Source organism: Homo sapiens, chromosome 8 (genome assembly GCF_000001405.40).
Source record: "Homo sapiens chromosome 8, GRCh38.p14 Primary Assembly".
Taxonomy (NCBI): Eukaryota; Metazoa; Chordata; class Mammalia; order Primates; family Hominidae; genus Homo; species Homo sapiens.
Window position 1 is genome coordinate 37,780,225 of NC_000008.11, and position 25,764 is coordinate 37,805,988.

The 25,764-nt window shown below is 54.5% G+C and overlaps 1 protein-coding gene and 1 long non-coding RNA gene across 5 annotated transcripts in view, besides 11 other annotated features; one reads left to right on the plus strand and one right to left on the minus strand.

Annotated features, from left to right (window-relative positions):
- Nucleotides 265-765: an enhancer, noted in NCBI's record as "H3K27ac hESC enhancer chr8:37638007-37638507 (GRCh37/hg19 assembly coordinates)". NCBI's record gives its function as "activates a minimal SCP1, AML or CMV promoter by ChIP-STARR-seq in primed H9 embryonic stem cells {active_cell/tissue: H9 hESC(primed)}" and the evidence as "EXISTENCE:reporter gene assay evidence [ECO:0000049][PMID:30033119]".
- Nucleotides 265-1,905: a biological region, named in NCBI's record as "BRD4-independent group 4 enhancer GRCh37_chr8:37638448-37639647".
- Nucleotides 706-1,905: an enhancer, noted in NCBI's record as "BRD4-independent group 4 enhancer chr8:37638448-37639647 (GRCh37/hg19 assembly coordinates)". NCBI's record gives its function as "activates an origin of replication core promoter dependent on BRD2, P300/CBP, MED14 and CDK7 cofactors, and independent of BRD4, by STARR-seq in HCT116 cells {active_cell/tissue: HCT116}" and the evidence as "EXISTENCE:reporter gene assay evidence [ECO:0000049][PMID:35650434]".
- Nucleotides 3,744-11,023, minus strand: LOC105379381 (uncharacterized). The gene is made up of 3 exons (XR_949686.3): nucleotides 10,607-11,023; nucleotides 7,942-10,262; nucleotides 3,744-4,059 (listed from the first exon to the last, which is right to left on the minus strand). It is a non-coding gene; the product is annotated as an uncharacterized LOC105379381 (long non-coding RNA).
- Nucleotides 6,296-6,365: an enhancer, noted in NCBI's record as "active region_27232". NCBI's record gives its function as "activates an Ori minimal core promoter by ATAC-STARR-seq in GM12878 lymphoblastoid cells {active_cell/tissue: GM12878}" and the evidence as "EXISTENCE:reporter gene assay evidence [ECO:0000049][PMID:35858748]".
- Nucleotides 7,524-8,032: an enhancer, noted in NCBI's record as "H3K4me1 hESC enhancer chr8:37645266-37645774 (GRCh37/hg19 assembly coordinates)". NCBI's record gives its function as "activates a minimal SCP1, AML or CMV promoter by ChIP-STARR-seq in naive H9 embryonic stem cells {active_cell/tissue: H9 hESC(naive)}" and the evidence as "EXISTENCE:reporter gene assay evidence [ECO:0000049][PMID:30033119]".
- Nucleotides 15,089-15,654: an enhancer, noted in NCBI's record as "H3K4me1 hESC enhancer chr8:37652831-37653396 (GRCh37/hg19 assembly coordinates)". NCBI's record gives its function as "activates a minimal SCP1, AML or CMV promoter by ChIP-STARR-seq in naive H9 embryonic stem cells {active_cell/tissue: H9 hESC(naive)}" and the evidence as "EXISTENCE:reporter gene assay evidence [ECO:0000049][PMID:30033119]".
- Nucleotides 15,655-16,220: an enhancer, noted in NCBI's record as "H3K27ac-H3K4me1 hESC enhancer chr8:37653397-37653962 (GRCh37/hg19 assembly coordinates)". NCBI's record gives its function as "activates a minimal SCP1, AML or CMV promoter by ChIP-STARR-seq in naive H9 embryonic stem cells {active_cell/tissue: H9 hESC(naive)}" and the evidence as "EXISTENCE:reporter gene assay evidence [ECO:0000049][PMID:30033119]".
- Nucleotides 16,484-16,723: a silencer, noted in NCBI's record as "silent region_19108". NCBI's record gives its function as "represses an Ori minimal core promoter by ATAC-STARR-seq in GM12878 lymphoblastoid cells {active_cell/tissue: GM12878}" and the evidence as "EXISTENCE:reporter gene assay evidence [ECO:0000049][PMID:35858748]".
- ADGRA2 (adhesion G protein-coupled receptor A2) overlaps nucleotides 16,659-25,764 on the plus strand; it is a 48,014-nt gene continuing 38,908 nt past the window's right edge. For all 4 annotated transcript variants that reach the window (XM_011544481.3, NM_032777.10, XM_011544483.3 and 1 more), the window contains exon 1: nucleotides 16,659-17,310. In XM_011544481.3, coding sequence (XP_011542783.1) covers nucleotides 17,045-17,310 — 266 coding nt within the window. In that variant the 5' untranslated portion in view covers nucleotides 16,659-17,044. The remainder of the gene's footprint in view (nucleotides 17,311-25,764) is intronic.
- Nucleotides 16,734-16,903: a silencer, noted in NCBI's record as "silent region_19109". NCBI's record gives its function as "represses an Ori minimal core promoter by ATAC-STARR-seq in GM12878 lymphoblastoid cells {active_cell/tissue: GM12878}" and the evidence as "EXISTENCE:reporter gene assay evidence [ECO:0000049][PMID:35858748]".
- Nucleotides 17,184-17,273: a silencer, noted in NCBI's record as "silent region_19110". NCBI's record gives its function as "represses an Ori minimal core promoter by ATAC-STARR-seq in GM12878 lymphoblastoid cells {active_cell/tissue: GM12878}" and the evidence as "EXISTENCE:reporter gene assay evidence [ECO:0000049][PMID:35858748]".
- Nucleotides 24,310-24,409: an enhancer, noted in NCBI's record as "active region_27233". NCBI's record gives its function as "activates an Ori minimal core promoter by ATAC-STARR-seq in GM12878 lymphoblastoid cells {active_cell/tissue: GM12878}" and the evidence as "EXISTENCE:reporter gene assay evidence [ECO:0000049][PMID:35858748]".

Here is a 25,764-nt window from a genome sequence, read left to right on the forward strand (position 1 = left end):
ATTAGCTGGGCATGGTGGCACATGCCTGTGGACCCAGCTACTCCAGAGGCTGAGGTGGGAGGATCGCTTGAGCCTGGGAGGAAGAAGTCACGGTGAGCTGAGATCGCACCACTGCACTGCAGCTTGGGTGACAAGGTGAGACCCCATCTCAAAACAAAACAAAAACAGCGAATAAGGAGGAAAGCCAGGGAAGGCTCAATCAGATCTAGATAAGGGAAGGACACCAAAGTGTGTCTAGGGTGTCCCCAGCAGGATGGGATATTTTGCAGAGAGAAAATTGAGCCAGGTTGTGAGTTTGTCTTTCGTTACGCATGATGGGTGGCAGGTTGGGTTTCTTCCAGATTTTCATGAAAGCCAGTTCCTGGAGTTTGGACGGCTTGCTCTCCTGGATTGGGCCCACCTGTGCAGCCTCACAGTCTCTGAAGGCGCTGGGCCCTTGTCTGCCCTGAAGCCAGCCTCAGAAGGCTTGAGACGCCACAAAACCTCCCAATAGTCCATCAAGACTTTGATCTCTTGGGGAGCTCCTCACAGATTCTATCACAGTTCTTAAAGCAACCTCTTAATACTCAAATGGTACCCCCCACCTTTTGTTTAACATTGATGGCATATGCAGCACTATTCTCTATATTCTCTCATTTCACCATCACAACAGCTGGTAGACTTGTGTAGGCTGATAGGCAATGTCCCTTTGTGGACGGGGCACTGGGGCCCAGAGAAGGTTCCGTGTTCTCCTTGTCTGAGGTCAGAGTGAGTTGTGGCAGGACGAGAAATAAACTCAGGACTTGACTTTCTGGCCCAGAACATGGTCACTACTCCACACTGGTATCTTCTATCTCTACCTTTAATAATTGATAAGTGGCATATTCTTAGATGTGCAGCTTTCATTTAAACGAGCCTTATTACCATAAAATAAGTGTGTGTGTTTCTATTCCAGTGGAACAGCTGAGAATTGACGCATCTTAATGCAGAACAAACTTTGAAACCACAGGCAGTGGGGGTGAGAAGGAAGGAGAGCATTAAACCCAGCCATGAGTGGGATTGGCCTCCCCTCTCGTCATCCCATCTCCCTCCCAAGCTCATTCCTCATGATTCAAGCTAATCTCACAGGCTGCAGGGCCCAGAGTGTGCAACCCTGTGCCTTCCCCCTGAAGCTGGACCAGCAGTGAATTCTGTTCCCCAAGGCTAGACACACAGGAATGAGGTCAGACAGGACATTCTTAAAATCCAGGACATCTTCATCCTTCAGAAAAGAAGTGGTCGTGTGCATCCCACCAAAGCTTTGAAGGAGGAAGTACTCGCTTACCAATTCCTGAAGGGCTGCAGTAGGAGTGGAATGTCACCAGTGGTGCAAGGGGAAAGGATTTCTCTGGGAACTGTGACTGTCTTTACCATGAAATTAGTTGAATGCTATTACATCAGCCTCATGACTAAGGACAAAAGAATCCAGACTGTCTACCAAAATGTTTTACTAATCTGTCCTCCCCTCAAGGAACACATAGGTAAAGAAAAGGGCTTCCTTTTCCACCCAGTTTGCACCAACGTGTGTAAACTATGGCTCTGTGTGGTTAAGCAGCTACTTGCAAGGTAAGGGTCCTTAAACTTAAGTTCCTCTTCTATAATCACGTTGAAGCCTCAAGGGACCGCAGAGCTAACACTTTTTTTTTTCCTTTAAAGTGCAGCACAGAGCAGCTGAAACGGCACACAGTGGGGACAGCAGGAGGGGCTTTTGGCACTTTTCTTGTATTTAGAATAAATTTTACAAGCCCACACTCCTGAGCCTTGAGATCACAGGGAGCAGAGGCCACTCTGAGTGCCGGAGTGCCTTCTCGAATGGTCCCATCTGCACCAGCTGCCTGGAGACACCGCCTGCTACCTCCATGCTATTCCAGGCTAGCGTCTCCAGCACCCGCCCTCCTAGCAGCCTTACCGCTCTCCAGCCTCAGAGCTAAGCCTGACCCGGCTGCCAATCTCCAAAATAAAATCAATGTGTGACCTTATTCACCAGATGTACGGAAGAAACAAGCACAAACGAAGGCCAACTTTGAAGCCAAAAAGGGAAGATGAGAAGTGGGAGAGAGAGAGAAAGAGGAGGGGAAAAGAAACTTGGCTAGACATGAAAGGTGTCTTGTCTGTCTGTTCCCTATTAGGCGCAATTCTCTTGCAATCTGCAGCCTCCACATAATTCTCTTGACCAGAAACTCTCTGGAGAGATAGTGTCAGAGGAAAAACAAACAGAATAGCATCTTCTGACAGCAAAGTCACTTAAAAACCTATTTGGGAGGGAAGAAGAGAGATGTGAGCACCTCAGGGGAGGGCACTCCTTCATAGCAGGCCACATGTGGAGTTACATTTGCCCTGGGATTGGACAAGGACAGGCAGGGGCCCAGGAAAGGGTTGATGTGCGAGGGCAAGGCAGTCCCAGGAAGCAAAAGCCCAAGGCCTCTACCCTCCCAGCCCCTCTGATGCCCAAGATCTACCTCTCTGTGGACGGCACACTAAATCCCACAGTGTGGGGCTTTCTACAGCCCCATGGCACACTCAGAGGAATTCAGAAGAACTGCCTTAGAGAAAAGTGGTTCCTTGGCCAGACGTGGTGGCCCCACGCCTGTAATCCCAGCATTTTGGGAGGCTGAGGCAGTAGGATTGCTTGAGGCCAGGAGTTCAAGACCAGCCTGGGAAACGTAGCAAGACCCTGTCTCTAAAAACAATTTAAAAATTAGCTGGGTATGGTGGTGCACACCTGTAGTCCCAGTGACTCAGGAGGCTGAGGAGGGAGGATCGCTTGAGCACAGGAGAGTGAGGCTGCAGTGGCTGTGATCACACCATCACACCAGCTGTGATGCACTCTAGCCTGCGTGACAGAGGGAGACTGTCTTTTAAAAAAAAAAAAAAAAAAAAAAAAAAAAAAAAAAGAGAGAGAGAAAGGAAGGAAGAAAAAGAAAAAAAAGGTGGGGGGATTCCACTTTGTCAAAACTCCGCCTTCCCACTGCTGCCGGCCACCAGCCAGAGGCTTAGAAGTCAGCTATTGCTGTAAGCCTGTGAGCCAGCAGCCAACTCCCCAGGCAGCAAAGGCCTCTTCTCCCCAGCCCCTTTGACCCGCCTTTGAGCTAAAGCAGTCTAGTCCTGGGGAAGCCAGGCCCCAACCCCCACCCAACAGGAGCCCAGTGGGGAAGGTTCTGGAGGAGTGAGGGAAGCAGGGCAGGAGAGGGCAGCCTTCTGTGCTCAAGTTTCTGGGGCAGGCATCCTGTTATAGGAGAAATTTTTTTTTTAAAGGAAGAAAAACTAATCAGAAGAAAGAAGCAAGCAAGAGCTTTTCCCTGCCTTTCGGACTTGTTTATTACCAAGATATCTGATTTCAGCAAAGGAAACCGGCACTGGAGCAAGGTTTTTATTGGCCATGAGCAAGAGGAATTCAGGGTTTGCCTTTGATTTAGGCTTCCCTAGTACATGAGGCACTGAGGGGTGCTCGCTGCTTTGATGGAGCAACCCAGGACTTTGGGGCCCCTCAAATTCCCTGTTTTCTGCAGCATTGACTCAAAGTCCGGTTGGAAACTGAGGGTGGAGCAAGCGGCAAGAGTGGAAGGTGACCTCAAAAACGTTTCAGAGGGATCAAAATAGAGGACAGTAGTTGCAAAGTTCTGAAACTAGAGCCTGAGCAAGGGCCCTGGCCCGCCCCCCTTCCCCAGGAGTGAGGGGCTGGAGGAGGCTAGGTCTGGTTTTCATGAAAGCGCCATGTTCCAGACTTGTCTCTGACCCACGGAGCTAGGCAAGCTGCAGTCGCAGGGCCGAGGCCTGATGGCTTCAATGTGTGGGGAGGATAAAGCCAGACATTTGCAGGAGCGGCCTCTGACAGCAGCGCTCCTCAGCTGGGAGGGGCAAGGGCTCTAGGGAGGGGTGAGCAGCTGGGCCACCAGCTCACAGAACTGCAGCTGATCCTCCAGGGTCCCCAGACACCATCGTGCAGAGAGAGCCGCTGTGCAGGGCCTGGAACCCCGGCCAGCCCATCTCTCCCTTGGCTGTGTGGCTGCCTTCCTCTACTGGTTTCCCCGGGAGCATCTCCTGCATGGAGGAAAAGGGAAGGTGCCCTCCTATTTGGGATGCCTTGGGTGAGCCTCTCTCTCTTGTTCTCTTTTTTTTCCTCTTTGTATCCTGTCTCTATCTACTTTCCCTCTTATCACCCTTCTCATCCATCTCCCACAAACCACTGGTGACAGGAAGATCCCCAAACCAAAGGGCTCTAGGTGGCCCTGCCTCGCTTTACTGCTCTGGCCAACCAGGTGTGTGAGGCAGGAGCTGCCTGCACCCCAGGGCGGCCAGGACAAGGGGCTGGGACTTTGGGGCCTGCGCCATCGTAGAGGGCAGCCCCTTGGCAGAACCCTCTGGTGGGGGATGGTGCGGCCTGCGTACAGGTCCCGTCCTGCTCCACGTTGGTGAGTGGGAGGCCAGGCCTGAAGGAGACACCTCTTCCCCTCCCAGGGTGTAGGGCTTCGCAGGCGGCTCTGTGTGCCCCCTTGTGACCGGTCACAGGCCTGTCTCCAAGACTGCTCACAGGCCCCAGCAGCGGAGTGTGCTGTCCCCAGCAGGGCTGGGCTCAGCCGTGAGGCCCAGGCCCACGCTGGCAGCCAGGGTGCTGGTTGGGCCTCTGAGTGGAGGCCCAGGGCCTGGGGCAGGGGTGGGGATGGGGAACAGGGCTCTCACTGTGTCCGTGTTAAGGAACCAGTCATCAAAAGGGCTTTATGCAGTCGCTTGGAGAACACATTTGCAAGGGTAAGGGCTGCAGGAATAAGGAGGTAGCCTGTGAGGGGTGTGGGGAGCTGCTACACACACACACACACAGATATACACACATACAGATACACACACACAGATACAAAGATCCAGATACACACACACAGATACACAGATACAAGTACACACACAGATACAGATACACAGATACAGATACACACACAGATACAGATACACAGATCCAGCTACACACACAGAGGTACACACACAGATACACAGATACAGATACACACACACAGATACAAAGATCCAGATACACAGAGATACACACACACAGATACAGATACACACACACAGATACACAGAGATACACAGATCCGGATACATGATACACAGATACACACACAGACACACACAGATATACACACACATACACAGATACAGATACACACACAGATACAAGCACACAGACACACACAGATATACACACACAGATACAGATATACACAGAGACACATATATACACACAAAAACATGCACACATACACAGACACACATACACATACCTACACATACACACACATATGCACATACACACACATACTCAAATATACACACAGAGACAAACACACCTACACACACAGACACCCATATACACACTTAGACACACATACACACACTTACACAAATACACATACACATACAGCCACACACATACACAAATATACACACATATACACACATACACATGTAGGCACACATATACACACACAGAGACACATACAGCCACACACATACAGGCACACATATACACATACATGCAAACATATACACACATGCACACACATATCCGCACGCACAGACACACACAGACACAGTAGTTGCTCTAAGACTCTGGCACTGGTTTGTCCGGCTTTGAATCTCAAATCTGTTCTTTATCAGACAAATTATCTTAGGCCAAGTACTTAGCCCCTTTTGTGCCTCAGTTTCCTCCTTTGTGAATGGGAGTGATCTTAAGGGTAACTACTCATGGCATTGCTGTGAAGATTAAATGTGGCCATACATGGAAAGTGCCTCACACAAAGCCTGGCGCTGGTGAAAGTTCAGGTCGGCTGTTCTGCTGGCCCCAGCTGTGTTGGGCTTTGCAGTCAGCTTGAACCTCCCTGGAGAAATGGGGTGGAGCTCTGATGGCCCAAACAGATAAGGACTGTCAGAAACACTGCCAGGCCTTCAGACATGAAACCTGATCTTCTAAGACTGGGGAGGAAGGAGGACCCTCCACAAGGCAACTGAAACTCCAAGTCCTCAAGCAAGCTCCCTTCATGGCACTCACAGAGCCCCGCTGATATAACCAGCCTGGATGTGGAGAGGGGGAAAGGCCCCGCTTCCCCTTGATGCTGCCCAAACATGGACATCCAAGCCTTCCCGAGTGTTCCCTAGCTTTCAACTAAAGACCTAACTAAAGACTGAGGCCTAAAAACAGCAAAATTAGCCCAGAGTGAAACCAAAACCAAATACTCTGGCTCACACGCCCTGGGCATCCAGACTCCAGCACACACCCAAACTCCTCAAAGTGCAGGCACAGGACAGGGGCCTGGACAGAGGGACTCCTCTTCCCACATCTCTCCCGACCTCAACCCAGGCCTTGCAGGGCCACAGGGCAGCTGACAGGGCTTAGGAAATAGAGCCCACAACTACCTGCACAGAAGCCTGGCCTTCTCCTTCTGGGTGAAGACCCAGGGCCCCCTGAGGCCAGAGAGAGAGAGAGAGAGAGTGTGTGTGTGTGTGTGTGTGTGTGTGTGTGTGAGAGAGAGAGAGAGCAGGAGAGGAAAGGAGGAAGGAAAGCACCGAGCAAGGTGGAGGAGCCGGGCGTGGTGTCTCATGCCTGTAATCCCAGCACCTTGGGAGGCTGTGGTGGGCGGATCACCTGAGGTCAGGAGTTCGACAACAGCCTGGCCAACATGGTGAAATCTTGTTTCTACTAAAAATACAAAAAATTAGCCGGGCACGGTAGTGGGCACCTGTAATCCCAGCTACTGGGGAGGCCAAGGCAGGAGAATTGCTTGAACCCAGGAGGTGGAGGTTGCAGTGAGCCTAGATAGCACCACTGCACTCCAGCCCGGGTGACACAGCGAGACTGTCTCAAAAAGAAAAAAAAAAGGTGGAGGAGAAAGGGAGAGAGCAGGGGGAGATGACAAGAGAGACACACACAAAAGGACCAGCGTGTCCCACACAGTGGCTTACACCTGTCATTCCAGTGTTTGGGAGGCCGAGGCAGGAGGATTGCTTGAGCCGAGGAGTTCAAGACCAGGCTGGGCAACATAGCAAGACCCCTGTCTCTACACAAATTTAAAAATTAGCCAGGGTCGGTGGCACATGCCTGTAATCCCAGCTACTCTAGAGGCTAAGGCAGGAGGATCGCTTGAATCCAGGAATTGGAGGCTGCAGTGAGCTATGATGGCACCACTGCACTACAGACTAGGTGACAGAATGAGAACCCGTCCCTAAAAAAAACAAAAAAAAAAGGTCAGCCCCAGCAAGCCATCAAGAGTCCAGCTGCTGCTACGAATTGAGGTTCTGTGCATGGATGGACTTTTCCAGCAAATTAAAAATCCAAGCTGCCATCAGCCTGAGCTGTGTGCTAATGAGGGCACTTCTCAGGCTACAGCATGACGGGGGTTGGGGTCCAAGTGCTCCGGGGTGGGTGGAGTGGTCTGTGGGAAGAAGGCAACAGTGACTCTGAGAAGCTGGTGGGAAATCTGCGGAGAGCCACAGCTCTGAAAACCGGGAGGCCTGGTGGGCAGCTCCTAAATGCTGGATTGGAAAACCCATCCTCAAACAGGGTCGATCTCTCGGGGCGCTAAGCCCGTTCCATGACTGCTTCAACAAAGAGCAGAAAACTCAAAGCAGAAACTGTCCAACTCCACCGCCTCTGGGGAGCAGGACTGGGAGGGCCCGCGGCCTTTTCATCACAAGCTCTTCCAGGCTAGTCCACATCTTAGCCACATGTGTGTGTTGCTTCGATAAAAATGAGTTTCTTAAACAGTGGTGAGAGCTGCAGGCAGGCACACTTTTGAGGTTGGCCTCAACCTCAGGCTCCCCGCCACAGGCCCGGCAGAGGGGGTTCCCACCCCTCACTCGCACCAGCCCCCACCTGGCCCAGTGCCCTGGGGATGACCCCAAACGCTCCAAGCTGCCCGGGGTGTTCCCTACCCCTCCTCCTGCCTGGAAGAACGCCTGCGACTTTCTCCACCAGCCGGCTCTGCGCTCCTCTCCGGTTCCCTTCCATGGCGGTTCAGGCCTCCTGCGGGGCATGGGGGTGCAGATGGGTCAGCGGAGCAGAGATCCGCACCTGCCAACACTCACCCACCGCAGGGCACCGCAGCAGGGAGCATGAGCAGGGTCATCAGGGAGCAGCAGCCATCGGGGAGCCCAGGCTCACCCCAGCTTCTCCATCAAGTGACCCCATTCCATCACAGAAAGAAGCGAGACCAAATGAAGCCCCCACCCTGACACATGTGCACGCACGCAGGCACACACGCACATACCCTCTCTCCCCACCCCAACACGTGCATGCACGCATGCACACACACATGCACACACCCTCTCTCCGCATGCACACACCCTCTCTCCCCACCCCAACATGTGCATGCACGCACACACACACACATGCACACATCCTCTCTGAGTGCCTCATCTGTGAAAGGCAGTAGCCACATATGGCATGGTGTGAGGGTTAAACCAGACACTGCACGTGACGGGCCTTACTGCCTCCCCCTCATCCTCTATATTTTATTTTCTACAGCGTGAAAGCCACACATCCACACACCCATACAAAAATGCTGGCCTCGTAACCCCTTCTTGCCCCTCTGTCGCCCCCTCTCCCTAGCCCACCCCCCATGCTCACACACACCCTTCTCTTGGCTAGAGCTGCCTCCACCTTTCTGAGACCTGAATGTCTAACACCATGGGGCTCAGGGAAAGGGGTGCTGGCCTGCGGCAGGGACTCATCATCTTGGCTGCCTCTGGGGAAAAAAGGCTGGTGATGGAGCAGCCCCTTGCATGGGCCTGGAACAGGTTACAGACCATGCCCCCAGGAGCCCTGAAACCAGATGGGAAGCCAGGCCTGGATGGGCACAGCCTCCTCAATCCCCCGAAAGGACCCTCCCTGTTATGGCCGGGTAAGGCTGCAGATAGGAAAGCCTCCTCATTCCTGATCCATCCATAAGACCCTGGGCAAGAGAGAGCCACACTTTCCCCTGAGCTCCAAGGAGCCTGGGAGCTACCAGGGGAGGAACAGGAGGAGGAAGGGAGGGTGGAGGCCGGGCCTGTAGCCCTTACCGGCTCTCTCCCTCCTTCTCCCCTGTACTCCCTCCAGCAAGGCAGATCTGTCTAAGGTGCCAACCTCTTCCCTGCCCAGAGTTTGGGAAGGCTCCCTGCTGCCCTCTTTACCCGGCTAACACCTGTTGATACTTCAGGTCAGCTTAGCCATTACATCCACAGAGAGGCCTTTCCTGATCCTCATGGAAACAGGGCTTCTGCCCCAATCCTCTCTAATGCCCCCTTTCCCTTCACAGCACTGACACAATGTCGAATTATAGTCACATGTGTTAGTGTTTGCTCAATAACTGCCTCTCAGGGCCAGGCGCGGTGGCTCATGCCTGTAATGCCAACACTCTGGAAGGCCGAGGTGGGAGGATTGCTTGAGGCCAGGAGTTTAAGACCAGCCTGGGCAACATAGCGAGACCCCATTTCCACACACAAAATTTTTGTAATTAACCGGGTGCGGTAGGGTGTGCTTATACTCCGAACTGCTTAGGAGGCTGAGGCAGGAGGATCACTTGAGCCCAGGAGTTTGAGGTAACAATGAGCCATGATCACACCACTGCACTCTAGCCTGTGAGACAGAGCAAGACCCTGTCTCTAAAAAAGAATAATAAAATAGCTGCCTCTCCTGGACTGTCAACTCCACGAGGGCAGTGACTGTGTCTTTCTTGTTTACCATGAAATCCGCAGCACCTAGCAGAGCAACAAGTCAAACTCTTTGATTTCCTCCCCAAACCTTACCCTTCCCGAGTCTTCTCCAGCTTAGGAAATGGTCATTCCATTCTTCTCATGGCTCATGCCAAACACCCAAGAGGACGTTCTTGACCAATGCTTCTGACACCCCTCTTCCCATGTGTTGGAAAATCCTGTGGGACTCCACCTGCAGACTACATCGGGATCCAGCCCCTTTTCACCTCCTTCCCCATCCCCTTTGTCCAAGAGGCCTCCACTGGCCTGTGGGCCTGGCCTCCTCACTGTCTCCTGTTCCCCCACTGGTCCCACCACTCTTGATCCTCCACAGAGACAGCACAGAGGACATTTATTTATGTATTTATTTGAGGCAGACTTTTGCTCTGCCGCCCAGGCTGGAATGCAACAGCACAATCTCCGCTCACCACAGTCTCCACCTTCTGGGTTCAAGCGGTTCTCCTGCCTCAGCCTCTTAGCCGCTGTGGTCATCGTGCAGGAAGTAGTCCTCATCTGCAGGACTGTGAGTAGATTTCATTTAAAGGATAAATTGGACTTTAATAGAGACAGAGATTATGACCCTTTCCTGCAGGAATGTCTGAATTATGCTGAGGTACCTGGTATGTGGTGGAATCAGATCACCAAAGAGAAGCCCTTACAGGCCTAAATATTTATATGCATAGCATCCAACTCTGATTCATTCCTTCATGAGCTTTTCTCCCTCATGAACACCCAGCAAGGTGTTCATGCTGCTCCAATAGGACCAGCAGCTCAGCCGTCCCCACAGGGAGGTGCAGGACAGGGACAGAGCTCAGAGGAAGCCCCGGGGAGCCATCTTGTGAGGGAGGTGGGGGCAGGGAGTCACCTTGTCATTCTGAGCTAATGGAATCCTGGAGAAATGCCACGTTTGCATTCTGGAGCCAATTATGGGCCATTATCTCAACCACTGTTGACCTGAGTCTGATTGTTAAAATCTGAAAAACAACAAGGCACAGAAGGAAATTAGAAAACCTTAGCATTAAAAGGTAAGGCCAGGCATAGTGGCTCACACCTGCAATCCCAGCACTTTGGGAGGCCAAGGTGGAAGGACTGCCGGAGCGCAGGAGTTCAGGGCTGATGTGACCTATGGTCACAGCACAGCACTCCAGCCTGAGTGACAGAGCAAGACTCTGTCTCAAAAAAAAAAAAATGGTGAACAGCCTGGGTGGGGCCCTCTGACACACCACAGAAGAGAAGAGGGCCTGGTGCTGGAAGCTTGTTAGCTGTTGCTACCCCCAGCACCTCTGCATGCTTACGGTCTGTATATTCTTCTTCTTTTTTTTTTTTTTTTTTTTTTTTTTTTGAGACAGAGTTTCACTCTTGTTGCCCAGGCTGGAGTGTAATGGCACGATCTCAGCTCCACCTCCTGGGTTCAAGCGATTCTCCTGCCTCAGCCTTCCAAGTAGTTGCGATTACAGGTGCGCACCACCACACCGGCTAATTTTTTTTTTTTTTTTTTTTTGAGATGGAGTCTTGCTCTGTTGCGAGGCTAGAGTGCTGTGGCGCAATCTCAGCTCACTGCAACCTCCAACTCCCTGGTTCAAGGGATTCTCCTGCCTCCGCCTCCCAAGTAGCTAGGATTACAGGCATGTGCCACCACGCCCATCTAATTTTTGTATTTTTAGTAGAGATGGGGGGTGGGTTTCACCATGTTGGCCAGGATGGTCTCGATCTCCTGACCTCGTGATCCACTCGCCTCGGCCTCCCAAAGTGCTGGGATTACAGGCATGAGCCACCATGCCCGGCAGTCTGTGTGTATTCTTTATCCACCCATTACTTTCTCCTAGCTTAGTAGTGAAGTTCCTTCAGGAAGTTTCTCCATTCCCGGACTCTATTAGGGAAAAAGCCAAGTGTGTCTTGGTTCTACTACCAGCTATGGGTTAAGAGTGGACATCTCTAAAGGTTTCGCTCAGAGAAGGCCAGAGAATCAAAGTTAAAAAAAAAACCACAAAGGGTGCCAGGCGTGGTGGCTCACACCTGTAATCCCAGCACTTTGGGAGGCTGAGGCAGGTGGATCACCTGAGGTCAGGAGTTGGAGACCAGCCTAGCCAACGAGGTGAAACCCCGTCTCTACTAAAGATACAAAAAATTAGCCATGCATGGTGGCGTGCGCCTGTAATCCCAGCTACTCGGAAGGCTGAGGCAGGAGAATGCTTGAACCCGGGAGGTGGAGGTTGCAGTGAGCCGAGATCATGCCATTGCATTCCAGCCTGGGTAACACAGCAAGACTCCGTCAAAAAAAAAAAAAAAAAAAAAACACATACACACACACAAGGGGAAGTGAAACTCTTGGGAGAATTTTTGTGAGCTCTTCTCCTCCCTAGAAATGACAGAGTACAGCAGTTAAAAATTTGGTCTCTAGGCCAGGCATCATGGCTCATGCTTGTAATCCCAGTACTTAGGGGGCCTGAGGCAGGAGGATCACTTGAGGCTGGGAGTTTGAGACCAGCCTGGGCAACATAGCGAGACCCCGTCTCTACAAAAAATTAAAAATTTAGTCGGGCATGCTGGCACATGCCTGTGGTCCCAGTTACTCAGAAGGCTAAGGTGGGAGGACTGCTTGAGCCTGGGAGTTCAAGGCTGCAGTGAGCTATGATTGTACCATTGCATTCCAGCCTGGGCAACAGAGAGAGACCCTGTCTCAAAAAATTTTTCGACTTTGGTTCCAGGAGTCCACATCTTGGTTCCATTACTTACTAGCTATATATTCTTGGGTGAGGTACTCTTTGGGTTCCCTGTCTGTTAAAAAAATTGTCCTAACCGCTAGGCGCGGTGGCTCACGCCTGTGATCCCAACACTTTGGGAGGCTGAGGCGGGCAGATCACTTGAGGTCAGGAGTTCGAGACCAGCCTGGCCAACATGGTGAACCCCGTCTCTACTAAAAATACAAAAAAAAAATTAGCTGGACATGGTGGCGGGCAGCTAGTTGGGAGGCTGAGGCAGGAGAATTGAACCTTGAACCCAGGAGGCGGAGGTTCCAGTGAGCCAAGACCATGCCATTGCACTCCAGCCCGGGCAACAAGAGCAAAACTCTGACTCAAAAAAAAAATAAAAATAAAAATAAAGGTCCTCACTCTGTTTTGAGAACTAAATGAGCTAATTCTTTTTTTTTTTTTTTTTTTTGAGATGGAGTCTCACTCTGTCCCCCAGGCTGGAGTGCAGTGGTGCAATCTCGACTCACTGCAGCCTCCGCCTCCAAGGTTCAAGCGATTCTCCTGCCTCAGCTTCCCAAGTAGCTGGGATTACAGGCGCCCGCCACCACACCCGGCTAATTTTTGTATTTTTAGTAGAGATGAGGTTTTGCCCTGTTGGCCAGGCTGGTCTTGAACTCCTGGCCTCAGGTGATCTGCCCGCCTCAGCCTCCCAAAGTGCTGGGATTACAAGCATGAGTCACCGTGCCTGGCTAAATGAGCTAATTCTTACGAAATGTACTCAACAAGCGCTTGGCACATAATAAGCACTCAGTGGCTGTCCACTTTCCTTATGTGACTCCCACGGTAGTTCCAATCTGCTCAGTCTCAGAGAGATCAGCTAGCAGCTAGCTCCCAGCAAAGGCAAACTTCTTTCAAGAGGGAGACGGCAGATATGAGCCCCTAGACTCTTAGGGGAATAAGGTCTCATAGAGTCCGGTAGATTATATTCTTGCCCAGATTAAACAGACTCTTTCGGAAAGTCCCCTCTCCCTTGCTCTGGTCGGAATTAATTCAGTCTTGTCTCTGTGATCGCCACTGAAGAGCTTATCACCTCTGATCAAGGTGTGTTTAATTGGTCAGGCTCCCTAGCAGATTTTTTGAGGTCTGGAACTAAATTCGAGTCATTCTCCTATCTCAAACAAACCTCAAAACAAAAAGATTTTGATGTGGGCAATTCATTCACTCCTCACTGCACCTCTGAGGAGAGGTCTGCAGGAAGCTTCCCAGGGGAAAGTCTCCCTGTGGCTCAGAGAAGAAAGCACTTAAAAAGGAACCATGGCCGGGCACGGTATACTAGAAATAAGAAGAAAAAAGGATTAAAACATGCTCATGGCAGGTTGCGGTGGCTCACTCCTATAATCCCAGAACTTTGGGAGGCCAAGGCGAGTGGATCACCTGAGGTCAGGAGTTTGAGACCAGCCTGGCCAATATGGTGAAACCCTGTCTCTCCTAAAAATACAAAAATTAGCCAGGCATGGTGGCAGGCGCCTGTAATCCCAGCTACTTGGGAGGCTGTGACAGGAGAATCACTTGAACCCAGGAGGTAGAGGTTGCAGTGAGCTGAGATTGTGCCACTGCACTCCAGCATGGGTGACAGAGCTAGACTCCATCACAAACAAACAAACAAACAAACAGACAAACATGCTCATGGCCAGGCATGGTGGCTCACACCTGTAATCCCAGCACTTTGGGAGGCCAAGTCAGGCAGATTGCTGGAGTCCAGGAGTTTGAGACCAGCCTGGGCAACATGGCGAGATCCCCATCTCTACAAAACATTAAAAAAAATTAGTTGCATGCAATAACAAACCTGTAGTTCCAGCTACTTGGGAGGCGGAGGTGGGAGGATTGAACCCAGGAGATCGAGGCTGCCGTGTTCCTGCCACTGCACTCCAGCCTGGGTGACAGAGAGAGACCTTGTCTCACACATACACAAAAAAAGGAATCAGAAAGTAAGTTCCTACCCTTGGACTCTAGTCTCAGTGACTCAGTTTCTTCATCCATACTTGCAAAATAAGAAAGTAACCTCCACTTCATCACCTCCCTGGGTGGGTAAGAAGTCAAATGTGGTGACCCTCAGGACAGTCCAGTGTTTTGTAGATGTCTCCATCAGACATTTCATTCCTAGTGGTGGGGAAGCCTCGCCTCATTAAATGTCCTTTGGCCTCTGTTCAGCCTCCAGGAGTGGGTGTTCCAGTAGAATTCTTCTTTAGACTTTGAGTGTCTTCATTTAGCCAAAGGAAATCACAGAAAAGCTATATGACCCAGGCCAGAGATCTCAGAGTCTTCCTTGCCTGTGAGCAGGAGGGCTGCACAGCCCTGCCTATGGGCTGTGGCTCTGCTGTCAGCTCTTTCCTGAGGAATGCAGCCTGGGCCACCGCCTGTGAGGGCTCCTGCTGGGGGAGTCCATTCCCCTTCTCCCTTCCTCCATTTGCAATCACTATTTATTTATCTTTGGAAGTTCAAGGAACCAGAGAGCCTGCAACTGGGGGAGATCTGTGGAGCCAGGGAGGGAAAGTGAAGAAGCCAACATCTAGGCCCCTGCCTGCCGCCAACGCCAACGGGCAAGAGAAGAAAGCCATTCCCTGCATAGTCAGGGTAGACTTGGCTGACAGGCACAGGGGCCCTAGAAAAGGCACCACCGCACATCAGCAGGGCTAAGCTCACTAAAGAATGTGGCATTCACCTTGGGGACCGCTTGGGTGGTAGAGTGAAGGAGGGGGAACGGGAGTCCTGCCCCATCCCGGCAGCTCTATTAAGCAACAGAAAGGTGAGCTTCTGTGGGGAAACAGAGGAAGCAGACCCCTGGGCTGCACTTCTTACTGCCTGTCCCCAGCCCTGGTTCCGGTGTACTGCAGGCTGTTTTTTTTTTAATTAATTTATTTATTTATTGAGACGGAGTCTCACTTTGTCACCAGGCTGCAGTGCAGTGGCACGCTCTCAGCTCACTGCAACCTCCGCCTCCTGGGTTCAAGCAATTCTCGTGCCTCAGCCTCCCAAGTAGCTGGGATTACAGGCGCCCACCACGACGCCCGGATAATTTTTGTATATTTAGTACAGACAGGGTTTCATCATTTTGGCCAGGTGGATCTCAAACTCCTCACCTCAAGTGATCCGCCCGCCTCGGCCTCGAAAAGTGCTGGGATTACAGGTGTCAGCCACCGCGCCCGGCCTGCAGGCAGCTTTATACCCACCACTAGTTGTCAAGGTCACCCCTGCCACCACCAGTCCTCTGCCTTTGGAAACCATGTGCCCCTCCCCCCCACCACACTCTCTTATTCTAATGCCACGATTTACTGGGCATCTAATGCCACTCTATAAACTGGGGAGCAGGCAGAGCCCCATTTCAACCCCAGAGATCTGCTACCCCAGCAAGCTAGGGGCTGTGTCCAAGGTCAGACAGTAATGAGAGGCAGAGCCGAGTCTGGAATAGGGGTCTCCAGACTCACTGCGCAGTGCTCTTTCCACACCCTGCTGCAAAGCCCTGCTCCTTCTCATCTACTTTTCCCTTGTCCCACTCACTGTCCCCGAAACACACACACACACACACACACACACACACACAGCGTTGTGGAAAATGTAGGAGGCCCAGTCTAGCCTCTAGCCTTGTCTGCCTTGGCCTTTGACCTCTCCTTGGCCGAATGACATGCACCCCCCGCTGAGCGAGGTCACCGCAGCGGAGGAGGGTCTGCTGCCTCCTTGTCTCGGCTGCCATCCTCCTGCGGCTGCCTCCACCGGAGCTGGAAGGAGAGTGAGAGCCGACTTCCAGACTGATCATCGTGTCAGGGGCCAAAGGAAACCTCGGAGCCTTCCACCAAGTTCAACCCAAAACAGGGCGCCCCAGACGTCTCTGTCCAAGCCCGCGGGTCCAGGAGGGCCCCAGCAGCCTGGAGACGCAAGCTGCACCGGCACGGACGAGGGAAATTTTGTGGAAGGTGGTGGTGGTCGGCTCAGAGGTCTGAGATGGGTTGCGGAAAGGAAGGGTCCTGGCCCGGGGCGCGGGGACAAGCGGGAGAGGAGTGTTGGTGCAGGGCGGGCGCGGGGACGCAGGGTCCTCGAACCAGCTGGCCCGCCCCCACTCGGCAGAGGGTCTAGGCCTGGCCGCGTGTCGGTCGGCGCTAGGGCCCCGCGGAAGGCCCGGGCGGGCGGGGACCGGCGGCGGGAGCGGCGCGGCGCGGAGCTGCCTCCATCCATGGCACGGAGCGGCGGCGGCGGCGGCAGCAGGAGCCCGGCGCGATCCGCTAGGTCCCAGCCCAGCGCCCAGCGAGCAGGCGACGCGGAGGGGCCGGGCCTCCAGTGTCCCGAGGGCCGGGCGCTGAGACTCCGGCCGCGCAGCTGGGAGCTGCCCGCGCTGCGCTGACAGCCGCGCCGACGTCCTCCCCGCCGGGGCGCTCGCAGGACATGCCCCCGGGGCGCGGCGGCGGGGACCCCGGGGCTCGCCTCCGCCCAGGGCCCCCCTCCACGCCCTCGGGAGCCCCGGGCCCCCGCTGAGCACTCCTCCCGCACGCCTGGGTCCCTCCGGCCGGCGCGCAGCCCGGCCCCAGCGCTGTGGGTCCCCGCGGGGCGATGGGTTGATGGGCGCCGGGGGACGCAGGATGCGGGGGGCGCCCGCGCGCCTGCTGCTGCCGCTGCTGCCGTGGCTCCTGCTGCTCCTGGCGCCCGAGGCTCGGGGCGCGCCCGGCTGCCCGCTATCCATCCGCAGCTGCAAGTGCTCGGGGGAGCGGCCCAAGGGGCTGAGCGGCGGCGTCCCTGGCCCGGCTCGGCGGAGGGTGGTGTGCAGCGGCGGGGACCTCCCGGAGCCTCCCGAGCCCGGCCTTCTGCCTAACGGCACCGTTACCCTGTGAGTACCCTACCAGGCCAGTTCCGTCCGAGCCGGGACTGGGGACGAAGGGAGGCGAGACGGGAGGGGTGGGAGCAGGGGGAAGGGGGCTATCCCCCCACTTCAGAGATTTCTGGACAGGCCTGGGTTCAGGCCCCCAGAGGGGAAGATTGGAGGAGCAGGGGAGAGACTGGGGCTCCAGGAGCGTGGAGGCGGGAAGGGGCTGCGGGGGACAGGCGCACCCCAGAGAAAGGCACCGCAGGCGCCCACTCACCTGCACAGGTGAAGTGGAGAGCACGCCTGCAGGGCACCCACGCCCCGGATTTCCAGCCTGGACTAGGGTTGCGGACTTTGGGGACCTGAGAAGGGTGAGAGCGGGGAATGCTCAGGAAAGATCGACGCTCGTGGCCCAGGAGGGGGCTGTGGTCCTAACCACTACGGTCGCGTCCCGGACTGGGCTGGAGGAGTCTCCGGATTTACCTGGCTGGCCTTGTCCCTTCAATTGGGGTCATCCCATCCTTGCCCCCTGGCCTGCCAGCGCCGCTTCCAGCCGGTCTCCTTAGGGCAAGGGGAGGCTGGGCTCAGAAAAGTCGGCCCTTGGAATACCGGCGCTCCTGGGCTGCAGGAGACCCTGGCGTCCCCATCCCTCTAGAGGCCCCTCTCCCACGGCGCCGTTTGTGCAGTGAGCTCTGTGCTGGGTCCCGCGTCCTTGCCTCTCCTTTGCCTCTCCTGGAAGTAACTCGAGCTTTGGCTGTTTCTCCATTGACTTCGCGCAAAGATTGCGAAGAAAGAAACGCGGCTGGGGAAGCGGGGTTCCCTCACCGCAGCCCACCCGGGCCTCCTTCCGCGACTTCCCTCTTAGTCAGGGCCTCAGTACGCCTTTGCTTTGCTGGCAGCGAGCGCTGCAGCGCCGCAGCCCGACCCCAAGCCTCCTACAAGGGGGTCGCAAGTCCCAGCAGCCGCGCGAGCATTGGCGACCCCTCCCCACCGCAGAGATTTCCTGCGCCGACCACGTGCTCGCAGCTCCACGCACGCCGTGGATTTGAGGGTCGGGCCCCCGCGGCCGCCGCTTCCTTTCCTGTCCCAAATCCAGCCTAAGAGCCGCTTCCCTTTCCCTGTCCTCCTGACCCCAGTGGCAACCGTTTCTCCACCGCCCCTTGCCCGCAGTCGGGGCTGGCCCAGTCTTTTCGATTGTGTCCAGAACAATACAGTAACGCCTCTGGTTGGGTGAGTTCAGAGGCTGCCCGCTTCCTGACAGGACACAACTGGTCAGCCTCTGACGCTGGCCGCCCGGCCTGCATTTTCCCCGGCCCGGGTGTGTGTGTGCATGTGTGTGCCTTAAGGGTGGAGGCGGTGTGTCTGCTCGCTGCCGCCTCCCTGCTGCTCAGGGTAAGGCTGTGGCCAGGGAAGGCACCTGTGGCTGTTCAGGGCAGCTCTCTCTGACTGTCCGCTGGGGTTTGAGGGTCCAGGCAGGCCTGGGCATTCCCCAGCTCACTTAGTTCTGGAGGAGAAAAATGCTTGCTCTGCGGAACAGTCGGTAGCGTCTGCGTGAGTCCCAGCTGCATAAGAATTCAGAGCTGAGGCCGGGTGCGGTGGCTCAGGCCTGTAATCCCAGCACTTTGAGAGGCAGAGGCGGGTGGATCACGAGGTCAGGAGTTCGAGACCAGCCTGACCAACATAGTGAAACCCCGTCTCTACTAAAAATACAAAAATTAGCCAGGCGTGGTAGCGCGCGCCTGTAATCCCAGCTACTCAGGAGGCTGAGGCAGGAGAATCGCTTGAACCCGGGAGGCGGAGGTTGCAGTGAGCCGCGATCACGCCATTGCACTCCAGCCTGGGCGACAGAGCGAGACTCCGTATAAAAAAAAAAAAAAAAAGAATTCAGAGCTGAGAGCTGTGCGTGCATGTGTGCACACTCTTGTGTCTGCTCATGCACATATGTGGGATGTGTGTTCTCTGCGTGTCTCTGTGTCAGGGTTAGGGAATCCTAACATATCAAAGGCAGAAGGAAGTGGGGGAGGCGGTAGATAGAAAGGCAGTTTTGCAGTACATCTTAGAATGATCAGGCCATGGTTAATTCCTATCCACGCCACTCCACAGAGAGAGCTGGGCCAGCTCTTGGTAAGAATACATTAGAACCGGCTGGCAGCAAAGGTGACCCCTAGCTCACCCTCCAATCCCAAATCCTCCCAGGCCACTGAGCCATCAGGCTTAGGATAGGATACCCTTTAAGGAGCAGCCCCAGAGCCTGGCTCTGGACTTCCCCACAGGGACACAAACAGGGCAGGCCAGGGACACCCTGGAGAGCCCACGGGTCCTTCAGCCTGGAGGGTAATGGAATCCCCAGCCACAGACTTACTGCTTAGCTCTCCCACCAGACTTCGCATAATCCTCATCCTCATGGCACCCCCCAATCCCCACCAGCTGGCTTCGGAAAGAAAAAGAACCCAGGCTCTCCTTCAGCAGAAGCTGGGCAAAGGTTCCTTCCTCTGAGGCTCAGTCCCTCCAGCACCCCCACACCCACCCCAGGATGCATCTTGAGGGAGGGAGCAGGAGAAAGTCTGTGTAGGGGCTGAAAGGGGATGATCTGTCTCCTCCCCATCAGGAAGGGTTACAGCCAACAGCCCTCTAACAACAACAAAAACCCCAGGTTAACAAGAGAAAAGCATAACTCACGTATTACTGTTACGCACACATGTGTGCACAGGAGTCAGTAAGGCTGAAATGCTCTCTCCACAGAGGAGAGATGTATGGACCGGGAGGTGGGAGGTGGCTGGCAGTTGATGGGACTCCGGAGAAGGTGAGCTGCACAGAAGCAAAGGTGGTTTTATTATGCGGATTTATGCGGATCACACCTCTCAGGTGATCTCTCAGAGCTCTCCGAGTAGATGAGAAGTCTGGGTGCGGTGACAACTCCCAGACTCTTCTCCCGCTCTATCTTGGTTATTTGCTGAGATCTCTAGGGAGGAGGTATTAAGACCATTGCCTTTATTTCGAGGAGAAGTTTTCTCCATCAGGTAAGGGAATTCCAGGGAGAGTGCCCCATCCCTGCGCTGGGGGAACAGGGGACAAGATAAGTTAGGAGGATCTTGGTTCTGAACTCCAAGTTTTGAGGCCCCTAAGGTCTCTCAGTGTGTCAAAGTGCCTGGTCTTTGAGGTATCGCTCTCTGAGCCCCTGCATCTGGGAAGGAGGGAGCTGCCGCTTCTTTTGCCCAGCAGCAAAGCCAGAGGACAAGAGCTGAGAGCCGCCCCACACAAATGGCCAGACTCATTTCCAAACTCCTCCTTCGTACTTTATTTATTTATTTTTTCCTGCCACGAACATTTTCCTTTTCACCTTTTAGCTTGTCACCTGGTGCAAATAAAACTGGAGCCATTCATTTTTGCATTTTGGCTTTATCCTCCCTCCCCATCTCCCCCACATTCCCATGGAAGACCCTTTTTTTCCTCCAAGATGGGGCCCCGGGGCACTCAGGATTGATCCTTGGGGAGTCTGAGTGCTGGGGGCTGTTCAGGCATGAAGGTGGGGTCCCTGTCTGCGGAGAGCCTCCTCCTGCACTCTGAGAAAGCCTTCCTGCAGTCAGAGGCGACCCCGTTCACAGTCCCATTTACCGCATGGAAAGCCCTCCCGCCACCTCCACCCATTATCTCAACTCTGCCTTCTGTTTTTGCATCCCCTGTCTCCCCCATCCTTTGCATATTTTTCTCTAGTGGATTTTCATTCGCAGTTTTCCAGGAAAGCTGAGCTCTTGGCTTCCTTCCTGATCCCTCTGTCCCACCCCACCCCCCAGGCTCCCAGCCCAGTCTGCAGGGCAGCTGTGGGCACCCGTGCTTCTGAACAGAGAGAGCAGGAGCCTTTGTGGGCCTCCCCCAGGGAAAAGGTCCCACGGGGGGTGGCTTATGACAGGGAGAACCTGGGTGTGGGAGGAAGGTGCAGACCACTGTGAGCCCCAGTATTACTCGGCAGCAGCTGAGGGCTGAGGTTCTCAGCTCTGGGAGTGAGTGAGGGGGAAGGGGGCTGAGGATAAGGAATTCCAGGAAAGGACTGTTTGTAGATAACTCCAGAAGGAAATCTATAAAGACCTCCTAGGACATCTGAGCAGGCACTCCGAGGATACCAGCCAGTGTCATAAATTCCCAGACGGCCTGGGCTCCAAAGGATCTTAGCGATAAGGAAGCCCAGTCCCACATCTTACAGCTGAGCAAACTGAGGCCAGGAGAAGAAGGGTGCCTTGCTGACAGTCACACAGTCGGCTGGGGCTGGCGCCGGGATGGGCATTGCATTCCTGCCAGGTGAGGGCCTCGCTGCTCACCTGGCTGAACTTGGGACCCATTAGACACAAAAGACACTTTAAAAAACCCGGTTCCTTCCCAGCAGGATCTGAGCCCTTTTGACCTGGGAACATTCCAGGCTGGGCAAGGAGAGGTCACTTTGAATTTCCCCAGAACAGGCAAACCCTCAACCTGCTCGGCCTCCCATTCAGGGAAGCGGGGGTGCCCACCACGCAGGCTGCCCACCTAGGGGAGAAGAGGCTGTCTGCCGCAGGTGTGCCTAGCACGGGCTGGGTTCTTCTGCTGGGATTTCAGTGGTCTTTGTAGGGGAAGTTGAGGAAGATGGGCCTCAGGGAAGTGGTTCTTGAGCACAGGTCTCCCTCTGGACCTCCAGCTGCTGGCTGGGACTCACTTCAGGGCCCCTCGTTACAGCCACCAGGATCCAGTTAGGGGAATTTGGGCAAAGTGTGCCAAGCGTCGTGCACATGGCCCGAGGGCAGGACAAGGATGCTGGTGGAGGGGCGGGCCCAGGCCGGCGCCTCCACCCCCTTCTCTTCCACCAGCTTTCCCCCATATGGTTCTCATAAGGTCTGGGCGCAGAGACAGCAGCCAGAGGAAGTGGCTGTGTACAGAGAGCTTTTGTGAGAGAAGAGGGGGAGGGGGAAAGAGCAAAGAAAAAGAAGGAAAGAAGAGAGGGAAGAGGCCAGAGACAGAGAAGGCCAGAGCAAGCCCAGAGACTCCAGCACCCACTCCCCTCCCCACCCAGGGGTGCAGGTCTTAGCTGCGGCACCCCCACCCGGGCTCCGGGACCTCGCCTGTTCAAAGGCAGGGGCCCAGCAGAAACCTCAGTCTCTCCTGGACTCTTCCCCACCACCCACTGGAGAAGCTGGAGGTCGCTAGCTCAGGATACAGGAATTCCACCCATCCATCCTCTGGGGCCTGGAAGCCCCTCCCCTGAGAGCTCCCTCTGCTGCAGGATGTTAGAGTCAGGGTCCCATCCTAGGGAGAGCCCTGGGCAGAGCTCAGAGCTCTCTGGGGCTCACTGGTTGAATGAAGAAAACTGCAGAGGCCATCGTGCTGGCTCCTAAGGGGGCACTTGTGACTCCGCCCCCAGTGGGTCCAAGATCCCAAATGTGTTATTTGGCCGGAGTTACTCCTGCATGTGCATGAACCCAACCACTCCTGAAGCCACCGAAGTCCCTGCCTGCTGGCTACCACGGCTCTCCCCTCTGTGATTAGGGAGGGGGAGTGGCAACCCCTCGTCCTGGGGGGAGTGTGAGAATTTCCCCCAAAGGCACAGGCAAACCAGTGTAATTTGAACCTAACCATAAATTGACCCTTCAATGCGGGTCATGTTTTTAAAGAAAGAGAGTGTTTCTAAGTTTATCCCACATGGGAGTCATTGGGAGAAGAACCCTTTCCTGATGGAGAATAAGTTCCAGCCACCTCTGAGTTGATCGCTGTCCTTCCACTCCGTGGAGGCACCGGCTGCTCCCCTCAGCAAAGTCCAGAGAGGGGAGGAGAGTTCCCGGACAGCCTGGACCCAGACACTGCTATCTTCCCCATCACCCCAGAGGTAGAGGCTGCCCCAGCCTCCCTGGGAGCAGCCAGAGAGCAGGGGCGGGGAGAGGAGGGAAATGGCCCGGGACTGGGGGACCAGAAGGAAGATCCGCTAACCGCTAGGAAGGGCTGCTCAGAGGGGCTGTTTATTTTCATTCCCCCAGCCCAGCCGCTCTGTTCTATTTACAGCTCAGACACTGACAGGACGAAGCTGCCTCCTCCCCTTCCTCCCTCCTCCAGGGGCCCCCATCCTTCCCAAACTCCAGAACATTCCTTTGCTTTCAGGACTGGGTTATGGGGGGAGGGGGCAGAGAAGCCGTGGAGTGTAGGTCACTCCAGCAGCCTCCCAGGACACTCTCAGCTCTCCCAGCCCTTTCCTGGGAGCCAGGGATGTGTGCAGGATGGATGGGGCCAGGTGAGGCACGGGAGCCCCATCTGTCACAGAGGAGCAGGCAATGGACAGGGTGGGAGAGCGAGTCCTGGGGAGGGAGTTCCAGCCTCAACCAAGGGGCCAGACATCTCCCAGCTGGGAAGGGAAGAGAAGGTCTCAGGGCCCCCTCTACCGCCTCTGTTCCTCCCTCTCCTCCTCCCTTCCCCTGCCAGGGCTCCTAGCCTTGCTGGGAATTGTGTATCAAGGCAGAAACTATGACTTCAGGCTTCAGGAGACTCAGCATCCAGGATGGGAAAGACCATCAAAGATAAGATGTGGGGTCTCCAGTCTACCCCCAGGGAGGGGCCAGCCTGCCCACGGTGAGACACACACACACACACACACACACACACACACACACACACACACACACACACGGCTCTTAGCCAGGCAGCTCTAACTAGACCCCAGGGCTCCTGCCTCCCATCCCCTCTGCTGTTAGTCTGTGCAGGTGGGAACCTAGAGACAAAGCCACCAAGGGCAGCCACATCTCCAGGAGAAAGGAAGAGGAAGCAAGACAGAGAGATCTGGAGACTGTGAAGCTTCTCAGACCTCTTGAAAGCTTCACCACCCTCAGTCTCAAACAGTGACACTGCCCCAGGCAGCAGGGGCCCTGGAGGCCACACCTGCCCACTCTGCTGATGGCAAGGGTGTTTTCTGATGAAAATGCAGGCACGTGGGACTGGGAGTTTAAGCGGCCTGACCCCAAAAATAGTACTTCCTGACTTCACTTGAGGAGGGTTGCCGAGATACAGAATAGGTTAGCAAACAGGAGGTCAAAATACAGGTTTATTGTTGATAAAAACTGTTGGAACACCTAGCTTAGAGGTTCAGCAGCCATGAGTTTAGTCAGAGCTGCCCACCCAGGGGACATCCGAGTCCCACTCCCAGCCCCTCTGAAGGAGAGCCCCCACATTAAACAGCTCTGCAGGCAGGAAGGTCTGGGGCCTCTTTGCACACTGACCAATCAGAGGAGCCATCCCTGGAGATGGGACAGAGCAGATGCCCTAATCCGTTTTCCTCCACATGGATACATGAGCCAGGGAAAAGGGGCTCCCCCGACCCCATAATGGCCTAACAAGTACAAGCGTACTCACGGGGTCCCTGTACATAAGCACTGCATGGAGTATTTGAAATCAGTCTGACCCAGGAAATGTGCAACCCATGGTCTCTAAAACGCCCTTCCAACTGTTTCCTCTTCCTCTCTGGCACCACCTCGGGTAGCTTCAGACAATGTGACCCCTATGGGTGTGGCATCCCAGAAAGGCTGTACCGTGGAGCCCGGCTCACTCAGAGAAGGATGGATGCTATCTCCTAGGTGTTGGGGAGAGAGAGGGAATTGGAGGTAGAAAGAAACTGCCGTTTGGCTTGGGGAAACCCAGGGCTCAGCAGTGAACTCTCTGTTGACCAAACATCCCCTCCATCCTGGAGCTCTGCCCCTGTCACTCAGCCAATGCCTACAGTGTATCTTCACCCCATGGGAGGAGGCAAAAGACCCAGGCTCTGCCCTTCTGTCCTTACAGTCTCCTGGAGACAGGTACCAGCTTACAACGCCGGACAGGATCAGGGTAGCAAATATAGCTTCTATGGAGGAAAGGTCAAAGATGAGTATCTGCGTAGGTAGAAAACATTGATAACTTCCATCCTTTTGGGTCTGTTTGTATTTTAAAAGAGGTCTGCGCCGCGTGTGTTGGCCCTTCCCTGTAATCTCAGCTACTCTGCAGGCTGAGGCAGGGGGATCACTTGAGGCCAGGGGTTCAAAACCATTCTGGGCACATAGAGATCCGTGTCTAAATTTTTTTTTTCTTTTTTGGCCAGTCACGGTGGCTCACGCCTGTAATTCCAACACTTTGGGAGGCCGAGGTGGGTGGATCACGAGGTCAGGAGTTCGAGACCATCCTGGCTAACACAGTGAAACCCCGTCTCTACTAAAAATACAAAAAATTAGCCGGGTGTAGTGGTGCGCGCCTGTAATCCCAGCTACTCATGAGGCTGAGGCAGGCGAGTTACTTGGACCCGGGAGGTGGAGGTTGCAGTGAGCCGAGATCGTACCACTGCACTCTAGCCTGGGCGACAGAGTGAGACTCCTTCTCAAACAAAAACAAACAAACAAACAAACAAACACTTTTTTTTGTTAGCTGGGCATGGTGGCATACTAGCTAGTCCAGAGGCTGAGGCAAGAGGAGTTCAAGACCAACCTGGGCAACATAGTG